Source organism: Homo sapiens, chromosome 6, assembly GCF_000001405.40.
Source record: "Homo sapiens chromosome 6, GRCh38.p14 Primary Assembly".
Lineage (NCBI taxonomy): Eukaryota > Metazoa > Chordata > Mammalia > Primates > Hominidae > Homo > Homo sapiens.
In genome coordinates this window covers 20,834,751-20,847,525 of record NC_000006.12, presented here as the reverse complement: position 1 = coordinate 20,847,525, position 12,775 = coordinate 20,834,751, and the positions used below count along the sequence as shown (strand labels likewise).

At 35.8% G+C, this 12,775-nt stretch overlaps 1 protein-coding gene across 16 annotated transcripts in view; it reads right to left on the bottom strand.

Annotated features, from left to right (window-relative positions):
- CDKAL1 (CDKAL1 threonylcarbamoyladenosine tRNA methylthiotransferase) overlaps positions 1-12,775 on the bottom strand; it is a 697,948-nt gene that overhangs the window by 384,879 nt on the left and 300,294 nt on the right. For all 16 annotated transcript variants that reach the window (XM_047418949.1, XM_047418952.1, NM_017774.3 and 13 more), the window contains one exon: positions 1,348-1,451. In XM_047418949.1, coding sequence (XP_047274905.1) covers positions 1,348-1,451 — 104 coding nt within the window. The remainder of the gene's footprint in view (positions 1-1,347; positions 1,452-12,775) is intronic.

Below are 12,775 nucleotides of genomic sequence, written 5' to 3'. Positions count from 1 at the left end.
GCATGATGTTAAAAAAAGTACTAATTTCATGCCTTCTAAGTTGCAGTGTTTGGTAGATAGATCATCTATGTTTAATATCCGCATTATCTGACAGATACATGGAAAAACAAACACTAATTAAGAATGCCAGCAAAGACTTTTTCAAATAGATTTAGTTTCTGGGAAAATTTTTTCTCCTTTTAAAAAATCCTTGGAAGTATTGGTTATGCTGTAGTAAAGACAACCACCCAGGCTTTTTCTTAGATTAGACAATAATCTGGCTGTAAAAGGAGAATGCTAGCAAGAGTCAGTAAATGTCCTTTATTTCTCTCTCAATACTAGTTGAATGTGAAAGGAGGAGGGGACTGAGCTAAGAATATACAAGTAGAGAAAAACTGTTGGGAGGCATCAATAAATCAAACAAGGAGATATTTTTCTCTATTAAGAGAAACATTACAAATTCATGTTTCTAAAAGTTTTCTACAGACTAAACAAAAAAATGAATTTGGAACTCATACTTTCTGAGACCCAGAGTATGAAATACTGAAACTAGCACTCCAAGTTACTTGACAAAAAGAAAAGTACATTGCCAATAACTATTAACCTGCAAGATTATGAGACAATAGATTATCTCATGTTGGGAGTAAAAACACACCACTGTTACAGGCACATACTATAAACAAAGACAAAAGAGGAAGTTTATGGTTTGAGCAGTTATATGTCCACACAACTGTCACTCATGTTAAAGATAAGTCTTACTATATATGCTGAGAGAGACCTAGATAATCACATTTCCCGGCAAGTGATGACTCAGAAGTAGTTGGCCACCCCACACAAATCATTCTCATTAGGCCTCTCCCCCAGTACCAATCTTTAGTGGTCTGACAGTCATGTGGTTAAAAGGGGTGGCCTCCTTTATTGGCTGATATGAAAACTTATCTTCTTCAAAGACGTCTACAAACCCTAATTAGCTCTATTTTCTAAATGGTCCAAAAATGTCAAAGAAAGAGATGAAAAATCTGAGTATTTCACTTGTCCACAAAAATCTTAACAGACATCAGAGGCTCATGGATTTCATTTTATCTTAATTTTGTCTTTTCCATGGAGTCTAGAGGTGGGTGATAAAGTTCAAAATATGTCATTTACCTTAGAGTGATAAGAAAACAGAAGCGTAGTAAAAGAAGAGTCATTAATGTAAAAATAAACTAAGTGATTAACTCTGGTCACATCTTTTATTAATTAAGTTCGTATATTTGTAAAACTCTTCAGAAAACTAAAGAAGTTGGTCTCTAAACTGAAGTATTACTTAGAAGGCTAACATAATTTATTAAGAAGACTAATTTCACATATAATTCTAGAAACTCTTACCTTGAAAAGATTGTTTGGCTCTATCTACTAGTTCATCAATTGGATAACTGGCCAAATTTCCTCTGGCGTGTTTAGTTTTGCAGTAGGTACAAGCATTGAGACACCTGTTCAAATGATAACAATAAATAAGACTCAAATTTCTAAAGATAGCATATACTTAACATGGGGATACCTCAAAACATACACAAAAGTGCTCTTTCAGAAACATTTGCTTGGTTTATACAAGAGATTCAAAAACCAAGTATCTACCATGCCTCAGAGTTATTTTATCTCCACCAGGCACAAAAATTTGCAATTCTTTTAAGTTTCAACTACTCAAGAATGACTGTACAAATCACACATTATCTAAAAGTGCACAAATCTATGAGGAAGAAAGTTTAAAAATGCTTACAATGACTAATCAAAAGAAATTCAAGACCTAAATTACTTTTTCATAAACTACTGACATTACTTTGGCCATCATAACTAGAAAGTTCTGGTATTCCTTATACACACTATAGTATTCAGAAATGATAACACATACTCATTTAACTTTTAACTAATGATATAAGAATAAATAAGTAGATAATATAGCATTCTCATAAGAAAATACAACCTTAGAAATTTTTAGATAATCTTTTTTCACTCCTTGAAATCAGGAAAAAATATTAAAGCATGTTCAATGAATAATTCTCTGAGACTACATTAATCAAAGTAAAAAAAGTAGAATGGCAATACTAGCTTTAAAAAATTAAAAAATAGGCATATTTCCCAATAGTATTTAGACATGATATAGAATTGTCTTTTTAAAACTAAAATATTGGTTCTACTCTTATAATATTAAAATATACCTTAAACAAATTTATTACAAAATAAAAGACACAGTTACAAAATAAAAAATAGTCCTATATCAAAAAGATAAGACTCAATAACATTGAACCAAACAAAAAGGAACATTTCTTCAGTGATTCGATTGCTATAATGAGTAGCAAGGCTTTAAAAAGACCATAGTACACAAATGCTTTAAAATTTCATATTGAGAAAAATTGTACTTTTAACAATTGAATCTGATCCATGTGTAATTTTATGAATATGTGACTTTAAGATACATATGAATCACTGTACTCAGCAGTCAAATATGCAATGCTTAATTTCTGAGAATTTTCGCATGGGATCCTTAAGTAAAGTAACATACATTTTAAAACGTGTTTAACTATTTAACCGACCACATAATCTTGAACTGCTAACACTCTTTTCCTCCTAAGTAATTTACATTTTTAAAATAAACACAAATTGTGGCTTCTCTTACAAATAGAGGTTCTAGTCTCCCAGTTGTTCTATGTCTTCTCTTTACATATTCTGCCCTTTCTATAACAAGGGGAAAGGGAAAACCATTCTATTGTCGTTTCCTTGGTAGAGTAACTCAATTTTGTTTAGCCCTTACTGAGCATCAGACACTGTTGTCGATATTTTCTTTTTTTTGTTTTTGTTTTTCTGTTTCTTTTTTTTTTTAATAGAAACGGGGTCTCGCTATGTTGCCCAGGTTGGTCTCAAACTCCTGGGCTCAAGCGACCCTCCCCTCTCGGCCTCCCAAAGTGCTGGGATTACAGGTGTGAGCCAGTGAGCCTGTTACTGATATTTTATATGCCTTATCTCATTTAACCCTTTCAGAGTTGGGTTTCCCTATCTTGATCTTACAGACAAGAATCCACCTCAAAAAATCAGATAAGTAGCCTGCTCAAGGCCATGTAACAGCTGAGATTCAAATCCAGGACAGTGAGATTTCAAACTCCAAGTTCTTTCCATACCAAGCTGCCCCCTCCCACAAGAACTGAGCGCCAAACATCTTAGCTGCATAAACATGCAAATAAAAAGACCTGCAAATCATCTGACATGAGATTTAAACTAATATAGCATATATATTCAAATATATGGCCAGTACTCATCTTCTTGAAGCTAAATATGAAGCTATTTAATTAAAATATGTGTTTCTCTCTTTTATTCTTTGGAAATCTAAGGCCAGGCTTCTTGTCCATCCAGTGTCCTAAACCTGTCACTTTCATCCTTGTTTACAATTTCTGTTTTTCATCCTCCTGCTGGTTCTGTGTGAAAACATGTCACTTCATCGGACTTGACACGTCATTTTAAATTCCATAGCTCAGGTTCTCAAAGCTGTTTATGGTACACTGGAAGACCAGGGTTCTCTCTGTTTTTTTTTCCTCGAGTGTCTCCATGGCCCAGTCAATGCAGCAGGCCTTGTCATGAAGCTGTGATTCCCACGTATGACTGGCATTCACCCAAGTTAAATCAGTACCCTTCCAGGGAACCTGTCATCTCTCCTTCTAATACTACCTCATTTCTTGTGATCCCTTTCCCTTATTTGTCCTATAACCAATGGAAAGCTCCATAAATTAAGTGAACAATCTTAATGGAAGCTATTGGTTGACCATTCCTAATCTGAAAATCTGAAATCCTCCCAAATCTGAAACTTTTTGAGCAACAACATGACACTACAAGAAAAAAATTCCACACCTGACCTCATGTGATGGGTTGCAATCAAAATGCAGTCAAAATTTTGCTTCATGCACAAAATTATTTTTAAAATATTATGTAAATTACCTTCAAGCTATGCGTATAAGGTGCACATGAAACATAAATGAATTTTGTGTTTGGAGTTGGATCTCATCCCCAGGATATCTATCTATCTATCTGCAAATATTACAAAAACTGAAGAAAAAAAAAATTCAAAATCCCTTATCTGAAATGCTGGTTCCAAGCATTTCAGATAAGGGATATTCAATCTGTGCTAATATTTCTGACTTGGGCTGTTTATGAAAAGTAACTGTCTTAAGGAACACTAGCAGGGGGAAAGGGCAGGGGAAGAAAAAGAGAAAAGAAACATATTTTAAAATTTATAACATAAATGAATTGATACATGTAAAATACTCAGAATGGTGTCTGTATCTAGTAAGCAATCAGTAAGTGTTGGCTACTGGTAGGTTAATGTGACTATTAAACAATTCTGTGAGGAAATAATTATGCATTATCATGTCCCAGGTGTACTCAACTTTATGGACAGATGTGTTGCTGACAGGTTGGCTTAAAAGTCAACTGTGGAAACCAAATCACATTTTCCTACTGTTTCACTTAATAAAGATGGAAATGTATTCCCCACGGAAAATCACTCATGAAACTGTACCAAAAAGTTTAAATAAACAAAGTGATATTCTGAAACATTTATAATGCTCAAAATAAGCAACTAAGAATATTACATGAAGAATTCAAAAAACTCTGTGTTAAATTGTTCCCTTGGGGTTAATTATAGTTGTTGACATGATAATTTTTTGATTTTTTGTTTGTTTGTTTTTGAGACGGAGTTTCGTTCCTGTTGCCCAGACTGAAGTGCAATGTCGTGATCTCGGCTCACTGCAACCTCTGCCTCCCGGGTTCAAGCGATTCTCCTGCCTCAGGCTCCCGAGTAGCTGGGACTACAGGTACCTGCCACTACGCCTGGCTAATTTTGTATTTTTAGTAGAGACAGGGTTTCTCCATGTTGGTCAGGCTGGTCTCGAACTCCCAGCCTCAGGTGATCCACCCGCCTTGGCCTCCCAAAGTGCTGGGATTACAGGCGTGAGCCACCACACCCAGCCAACATGATAGTTTTGAAGTTCTAAACTCTTTATTGTATAAGACGGGTTCATCCTATCCACAGTTATCAAAATAATACTGTATATTATCTTAAGAAAGTAAAAATTTCTTAAGAGCACATTTTTTTGACTGCTTGTATGTTTATTTTTAATTTTTGTGGGTACATAGTAAGTGTATATATTTATAGGGTACAAGAGTACGTTTCTTTAAACTTGCTATAACAGTACCAACTCAAGCATCTAATTTGCTATTGTCTTAGCTTTAAAAAGAAGAGATTTGTTATAATACACAGAAAAAAGCCATGCAGTGTAAAATCAGAAAAGAAAGAATAAGCATTTTGATGCTATTTGGTTGAAAAACAGTTTTTCTAATCACCAAGAATTATGTTGACCAATCATTTCAACATAAGAAGCTTCCTATAAAATAAAGAAATTCACAATAGAAACCTTTAGAAGATAGTTTCAGTTATCTGTAAACAATTAAATAATTGTCTAGGAGAAAGAACACTGAGCCAGTTTCTTCAACTGTCAGAAAACAAAAGATCTTTGAAGGTTGACTGCAGAAAGCCAAAACCAAAATGAGATGGCTGTTGAACTACAAGGAAGATGCAAAATCCAAATAGGCCTAGACTGTCCTGATGCAAGGATAAAGCTAGCACACAATACCTACTAATCTTTGCACAGGTTGTTACATGGCCAGAGACCAAGAATGACTAAAACCCTCAAAAGCAGAGAGAGCTTAAGTATTTAATCTGGCAGTATAACCCAGGAGAGTTTTATTTTTTATTATTTTTATTTTTGTAAAAAAGGTTTTTTTTGTAAAGACAGGGTCTCACTATGTTACCCAGGCTGGGTCCCTCAAGTTATCCTCCTGTCTCAGCCTCCCAAAGGGTTGGGATGACAGGCGTGAGCCATCACGCCCAGTTCAACCCTGAAGTCTTAAGAAACACCTATGGTAGAATATTTTTAAATTACATAGACTAAACAAATGAAATAACAATGAATTTTCACAAATTAAAATACTTCAAAGGGTGTAAACACATAATGGTCAACTTAATATCCAAACCACATAAAGCAAGTGAAAACTAAAAGTTTTAACATACCTATTCTTTTTTTGTAAAGAGCATCTTTAGATATTACAAGTTCTGAAATAATTTAAAAATCAGAGTTATACTCTTAAAAAGTCACTCATACTGGTATCTTTTTTTAATGGGGGAAAAAAGGTGACTAATGTGACACAGTCTTCTGGTTTTCTCTGCTTCAGGTCAAAGATAACCTGAATATGCAAAAACCATTTGGACTCAAGCATTAATACTCACAGCCTCCACTTTCCATTCCACTCACATAATTTAATCATGATTTGTTTTTCATAAATTGATAGAGTATGATCTTTCTCAAAGCTTCAAATGTTACAAAATGGCCAGGCATGGTGGCTCACGCCTGTGATCCTAGCACTTTGGGAGGCTGAGGCAAGAGGGTTGCTTGAGCTCAGGAATTCGAGACCAGCCTGAGCAACATAGTGAGACCTTGTCTCCACAAAAACAAAAAACCAATGTTACAAAATAATAAGCCCTTAACAAGAACTAAATCTTGGAAAAGCCATACTGTGGTCTAGCCACATTCTTCCAAACTGAAACACCATCAAGTGAAGAAAAAACAAAAACCCAAGAAACCAAAAGTTCACACAATGTAGGCTGTGCCAGACTTCATTGTTAAATATAGCCTACTGTGAGCCCTCATCTTGGTTTAACTGTTTTTCCAGGAAAATTACTTTTTGATCTTTCAAACGAATACAGGAGATACTCATACCAACAGAATCTGATAAGATCTTCAAATGATAACATAATACCTGTTTGTCAAGATCAAAATTCTCAACAAGCAATGGAAAAATGACATAGTTGAAAAATTAGCTGAATATACTTCCAAAACCCTACCTTCTTTAAGCTTCCTGTGCCCAAAACTCCTCTTGCCTAAAATGAAATCCCTCCACTTGGGTGACTGACTCAATCGTCTCTCCTGTCTCTATCTTCAATTGTGAACTTTCGGAGTTAGTTTCCCCTGCATTAAAATATGTGTACTAAATTGAAACACAATTGCAGCTGTATTTGCTCTTACTCTATTCCCATCAGCTACATCCTTTGCTCCAAAATGTTGTTCCAGCATATTTTAACTCTGTACCTTTTTTTGTTATTCACTTTACTTGAAAGAATTATACTTATCACCTCTCAATCCCTGTAAAAAATCATCACAATCTTTAAAATAGTTTGAGGGGAGAAGTGGCCAGTGATAGTAAAAGACAGCTGCCAAATGCTTGCCAGAAACTCAGTTATGCATTTTACATTAATTGTTTCATTTACCCTCACAGCAATCTTGATATAAGCATTATTATTCTTCCGTAGAGGAAACTGAGGCTCAAAAAGATCAAGAAACTTGCTCAAAGTTATACAGCCAGCCAAGTCAAAGATCCTTCCAATTGCATTTGAATTTCCTTTATCACCAATTGTACTCTGTACTTCTCTTAAGAAACACTGACTTATTCTGTGTAAGAATACATGATTAGTTGCATGCTTATCTCAATATTCTTAAGGAACAGGTATTATCTTCCTTATTTACTATCTGCTATAGCATTTAACACAGTGACTTGTATACTATTAGAATAACAATAAATACACAAATCTCTTGGTGATTTCATAATGGACAGACCAGTTGACAAGCCAATACTGGGCTACACAGCTAGGAGGAGTGCTAGGCAGAAAGGTATCCAGTAAAATACAATGAAGCAGGGAAATGGAAGTCAGGAATCGAGAAGGTACAGAGCAATAATGCAGATCTTGCCAGACAAAGGATCAACAATCTTGTCTTAGAGGTCAGGAAGCTGGGAACAGGAAAGTAAAGCTTGGAGACGAGAGCTGTAAGACAAGGGACCCTACACAGGGTATAAACACACTACAATCTGTACACCATTCCAAGCAGACTATGCAACAAGAGAAATAAAGGGCCTGATAGTCTATCAAAGACCATCCATTTTCAATAGTAACTATTTTTCCAGTTTCTATCAGTAGTTTCCGATGCTGGGATGTCACAGAGCAACACACTTAAAATGCACACACACATAACTGGACATCAAATAGGCTACCGATTTGTTATTTTGCCAAGATAGGACAAAAAAAGTTAAACTATCTTGTACTATCATTACTGTTTTTCAAAAAATAGCACATTTTAAACAACAAAACAGGAGGAATGTCATAATGAAGGCTCACAAATGTAGCTTCATAAAAATCTCATTATATTTTCCTTATATTTCTCATTTTATCACAGGCCAGCAAAAAAATCCATCGAGTTCTACAGAAACTGTTGCTGTAGGTGATTCTTTAACATCTTCCTAAGTTTTCCTTACATTTCTATATTGATCTTTAGAATTAAAGATGTACAGGGGGAAAAAAAAAGCAAGAAAATGGCCTCTTTTAACTGAATATTGGTTTGAATCAGCTAATATGTCAATTGACACACAATATGTAGAATAAATATAATTAATAAGTAGCAGTGATCATTCCAGTTAGAATTTTTTTTTTTTTTTTGAGATGGAGTCTCGCTCTGTCTCCCAGGCTGGTGTGCAGTGGTGTGATCTGGGCTCACTGCAAGCTCCGCCTCCCAGGTTCACACCATTCTCCTGCCTCAGCCTCCCAAGTAGCTGGGACTACAGGCACCCGCCACCACACCTGGCTAATTTTTTTGTATTTTTAATAGAGACGGGGTTTCACCGTGTTAGCCAGGATGGTCTCGATCTCCTGACCTCAGCTGATCTGCCCACCTCAGCCTTCCAAAGTGCTGGGATTACAGGCGTGAACCACTGCACCCGGGCCTCTCCAGTTGGATTTTCAATGTGTTCTATTTGTAGCTAGCAGCTTACTCCCTGGGAGACAAAGTCCCACACCCTTAATAGCAACAACTGTTTTCTAAATGTGTTTACTAAAATAGCATGGTAAAAGATAATGAAATTCCGTCAACCATAAAGTACATACTTTTCCGAAAATTTTCTTTTGTTCCACCTTCGTTGTTATTTTTAGTTTTATAAAGCAATGACAGCAGACAAAAATTAAGGCTAAGATATTATCTATACTTTCCAAAGACAGCAGTAGAGACAGCTGTAATTGTCAAATAATGTTTGTGACATAGACACCTGGTTGGCCATTCAAGCTGAGACCCAGACAAAGTGACACTGTGCTACAGACTTGAGCTAACTTACGAATGTCCAAGCTGAAAACGAAACAGGAACTGTGAACACAACTATACACTTCCTACCATAGTAGGAGATTTTATTTACATAATATATGTATACATTATACATATAAATAGACATATAATTTATCCTTTAAGAATATAATTCTGCCATGTAAGATATATTCCTAATATACCATAAAGTTTAAAAAGCAGTAACAAATACTGTTTTAAAATTATGTAAAGTAGATGTATACATCTATAAAAATGGATGTATACATATATAAAAGTAGATGTATACATATATACAAGTAGATGTATACATATATAAAAATCATATACATAGAAGTATACACACACACACACACACACACACACACACACACACACACACACAATTTCTTCCCAGCTCCACCCCTAACTGTTCTCTATGTCTGGTTTGTTTGGTTTTGGGGTTGTAGGTTGTTTTTGTTTTTTCTTTTTAGGTACACATACCTGGCCCCCTTATCAGATTTACTGAATTAGAATTTGCAGGAATGAAAACAAGGCATATATATATTTATAAAAAGTATTATTATTATTATTATTATATGCTGAAGTGAAGCCAAATTTATGCTAGTATTAGAAATATTTATTTCTGCAGATTAATAGTTAACACTCGTCTGCTGTTAAACTAAGCAAAACTAAATCTGTACTTTCAGATATTCTAAAGGTCAACTTATGGGAAAGTGGTCTCTAGCAAAGACTTACCTAAGGGTTAATCTGAAAATCTGACTAAGCCACAGGCAAAATATACCAACCAAAAAACCTGAATAATGGACCATAAAATATACTCTAAAAGCAAAGGAGTATTAGTGAACAAAACTATTGTTTTTGTTCTCTCAGTGGTTATGGAGGCTGACGTCTGCTGAGGTGAAATCTCACAGGAAACAGTGGTTGAGGCTAATTCTATAACATGTAACAGGTACCATATTTTGGCGCCTGGGATAAAAGGTATTGTTCTAACATGAGTCAAAACATCCTGGGAAAGAAAAAAAAAATCTTATATTTCAAGGGCATTGAAACTAGAAAGCTAAATTCAGATAAAACTTAAATTTCTAACCTGTGTGGGAAAAAACTTAAATTGTTTGGGTCAAATAATGGTGTGAGCAATCACATAAGGAAGAGAGATGACATGTTTTAAAGTGAAATGAAAAAGTAGTGCCTAAGCATTTATGTAATTACCCACCATTTTAACTTCAACAAATTCTCCAAATTCGAGAGCTAACAATTTTAATCAACATTGTAATAATTTCAGTAAAATTCAACTGCCCATCTTTGACTTGGAGATTACTACCTAACGCAGGGCCAGGACAAAGTAGCATTTACCAGAGAGAGAAAATGAGGGAACTGGTAGGGCCTTAGCACACAGTCCACTGGCTATCAAGGCGACTACCCAAATATCCATGAGAAGAAACCTTTCCCACGCGGACCTCAGCTGCACAGTGGTTTAGTGCCTCTTCTCCTACATACACATTACACCTCTTTTCCTTGACTGATGGATAGAATCCCTATCAATTCAGTGAGAGCTCTTTTCTTTATTGGAACAGGAGAAGGGAATGATAAAAACTACCCCCATTAAATACAAGATGTATTTAAAGGAATGTATATTCCTTTATAAAGAATTGTGCTGTTTTCAGAAACATTTGGATGGAAAAGGGAAAAAATGCATCTCAACAGAGGAAATACGTCAATTTAAGAACTTAAATAAGAACATTAAAGAACAGTATTTCAGAGATGAGCAAGGAATGTGCCAGCTGAGAACTTCCATCCCAAGAGGTGGTGATATTCATGGAGTATAACCCTAAAAAGCCAACCTATGACAGAGACAAAAGTGAATCATAAGAAAGACCTGGATTCCCAGATTCTATTCTTTTCAACTGTAATGCCACTGAATATGCTACAGAATAACTGCAACTTACGCTGAATTTTTATATATAACTAACTTAGTGACGGTGCTGCTTTTTTAAAAATGAAAATGTTTGTATAATATGCAAACATTATATTTTTGGTAATATGATGGCTGGAACTCAGCAAATCAGATAGCCTTTGTAACATAATCGTCAGTTTGATTTACTTCGATGCTTTTCTTTTCCCACTGCTAAATCTTGAGGTCATGTCCAAGTGAATGAAATAGTTACTCTACCGAGTCACTATCGAAAAGTGCAGGTGTGGGCTATTCATAGGAGGTACACTCCTGCTTTCCTTTTTCATCTACATAGGAGGGAGTAAAAAGGAGGCTTGAGGGAGCAGAAACCCATGGGTCCCTTTTACAACAGCCAGGAGAAGGAAGGAGAAGAGAAAGGGTAGTTGCTCATGTAAAGTACACAAAGCAGGGCTCCCTCATATACATCTCATTTTGATAAGCACAACCAGCAGATTCTTGGTGCCGGTAGTAGAAGCTCCATTTTTCAGATATGAAAACTGAAGTTGAAAAGGGGTTCCAGGCCAGGCGCAGTGACTCATGCCTATAATCCCAGGACTTTGCGAGGCCGAGGCAGGTGGATCACTTGAGGTCAGCAGTTCAAGATCAGCTGGGCCAACACAGCAAAACCCTGGCTCTACTAAAAATACAAAAAAATTAGCTGGGCCTGGTGGCGCACGCCTGTAATCCCAGCTACTGGAGAAGATGAGGCAGGAGAATCACTTGAATTCAGGAGGCAGAGGTTGCAGCAAACTGAGATCATGCCACTGCACTCTAGCCTGGCTGACAAGAATGAAACTCTACCTCAAAAAAAAAGAAAAGAGACAAGACAAGACAAGACAAGACAAAAGACAAGACAAGACAAGACAAGACAAGACAAGACAAGACAAACAAAGCAAAGCAAAGCAAAGGAGTTCCAGTACACAGGCTAATTAACTGCCAGATTTCATGTCTGCACCTACCTCTTCCTAATTCTAAGAAGACTCAAAAGGCTCCTTTTGTGGGGAAGGAGGTACCTTGTTTATTGCTTAGTATGTATTACTTTAATAAATAATTATTTTAATAATCTTCGCTTTATTGAGGTAAAATTGACACAAAATAAACTGTACATATTTAAAAAGTATAATTTGGTAAGTGTTGACATATGAATACATCTGTGAAACATTGCCACAATCATGATAATGAACATATCCATTGTCCCTAAAGGTTTCCTTGTGTCTCTCTGTCACCTCTCCCTCTAAACCCTCTACCCAAGTGCCCAGGAAATTATTGTTCTTTCTTTCACTATAAATTAGTATGCAGGATAAATTGGTTTTCAATAATTTTATATAAATGGAATCATAGAGTACGTACTCTTTTTGTCTGGCTTTTTTCATCAACACTACACAGTGTGTCAATAGCACATTGCTTAGCACTACTCCATGGATTTGTGTTTGCTAGCTGTTTCCTGTGAAGCTATGGCACTATGGGGTGATAGAGGGAGACAGAAAGGCTAGACAAGAGAGAATGGACTTGCCTTTTCTATTTTGCTTCCTGTCCTCATCCATAATGCCAATTTCTAACTCCGATGTGGGAGAAGGTAACATCAGAACTCTCAAACAATAAGCTAATGCCTTAAATT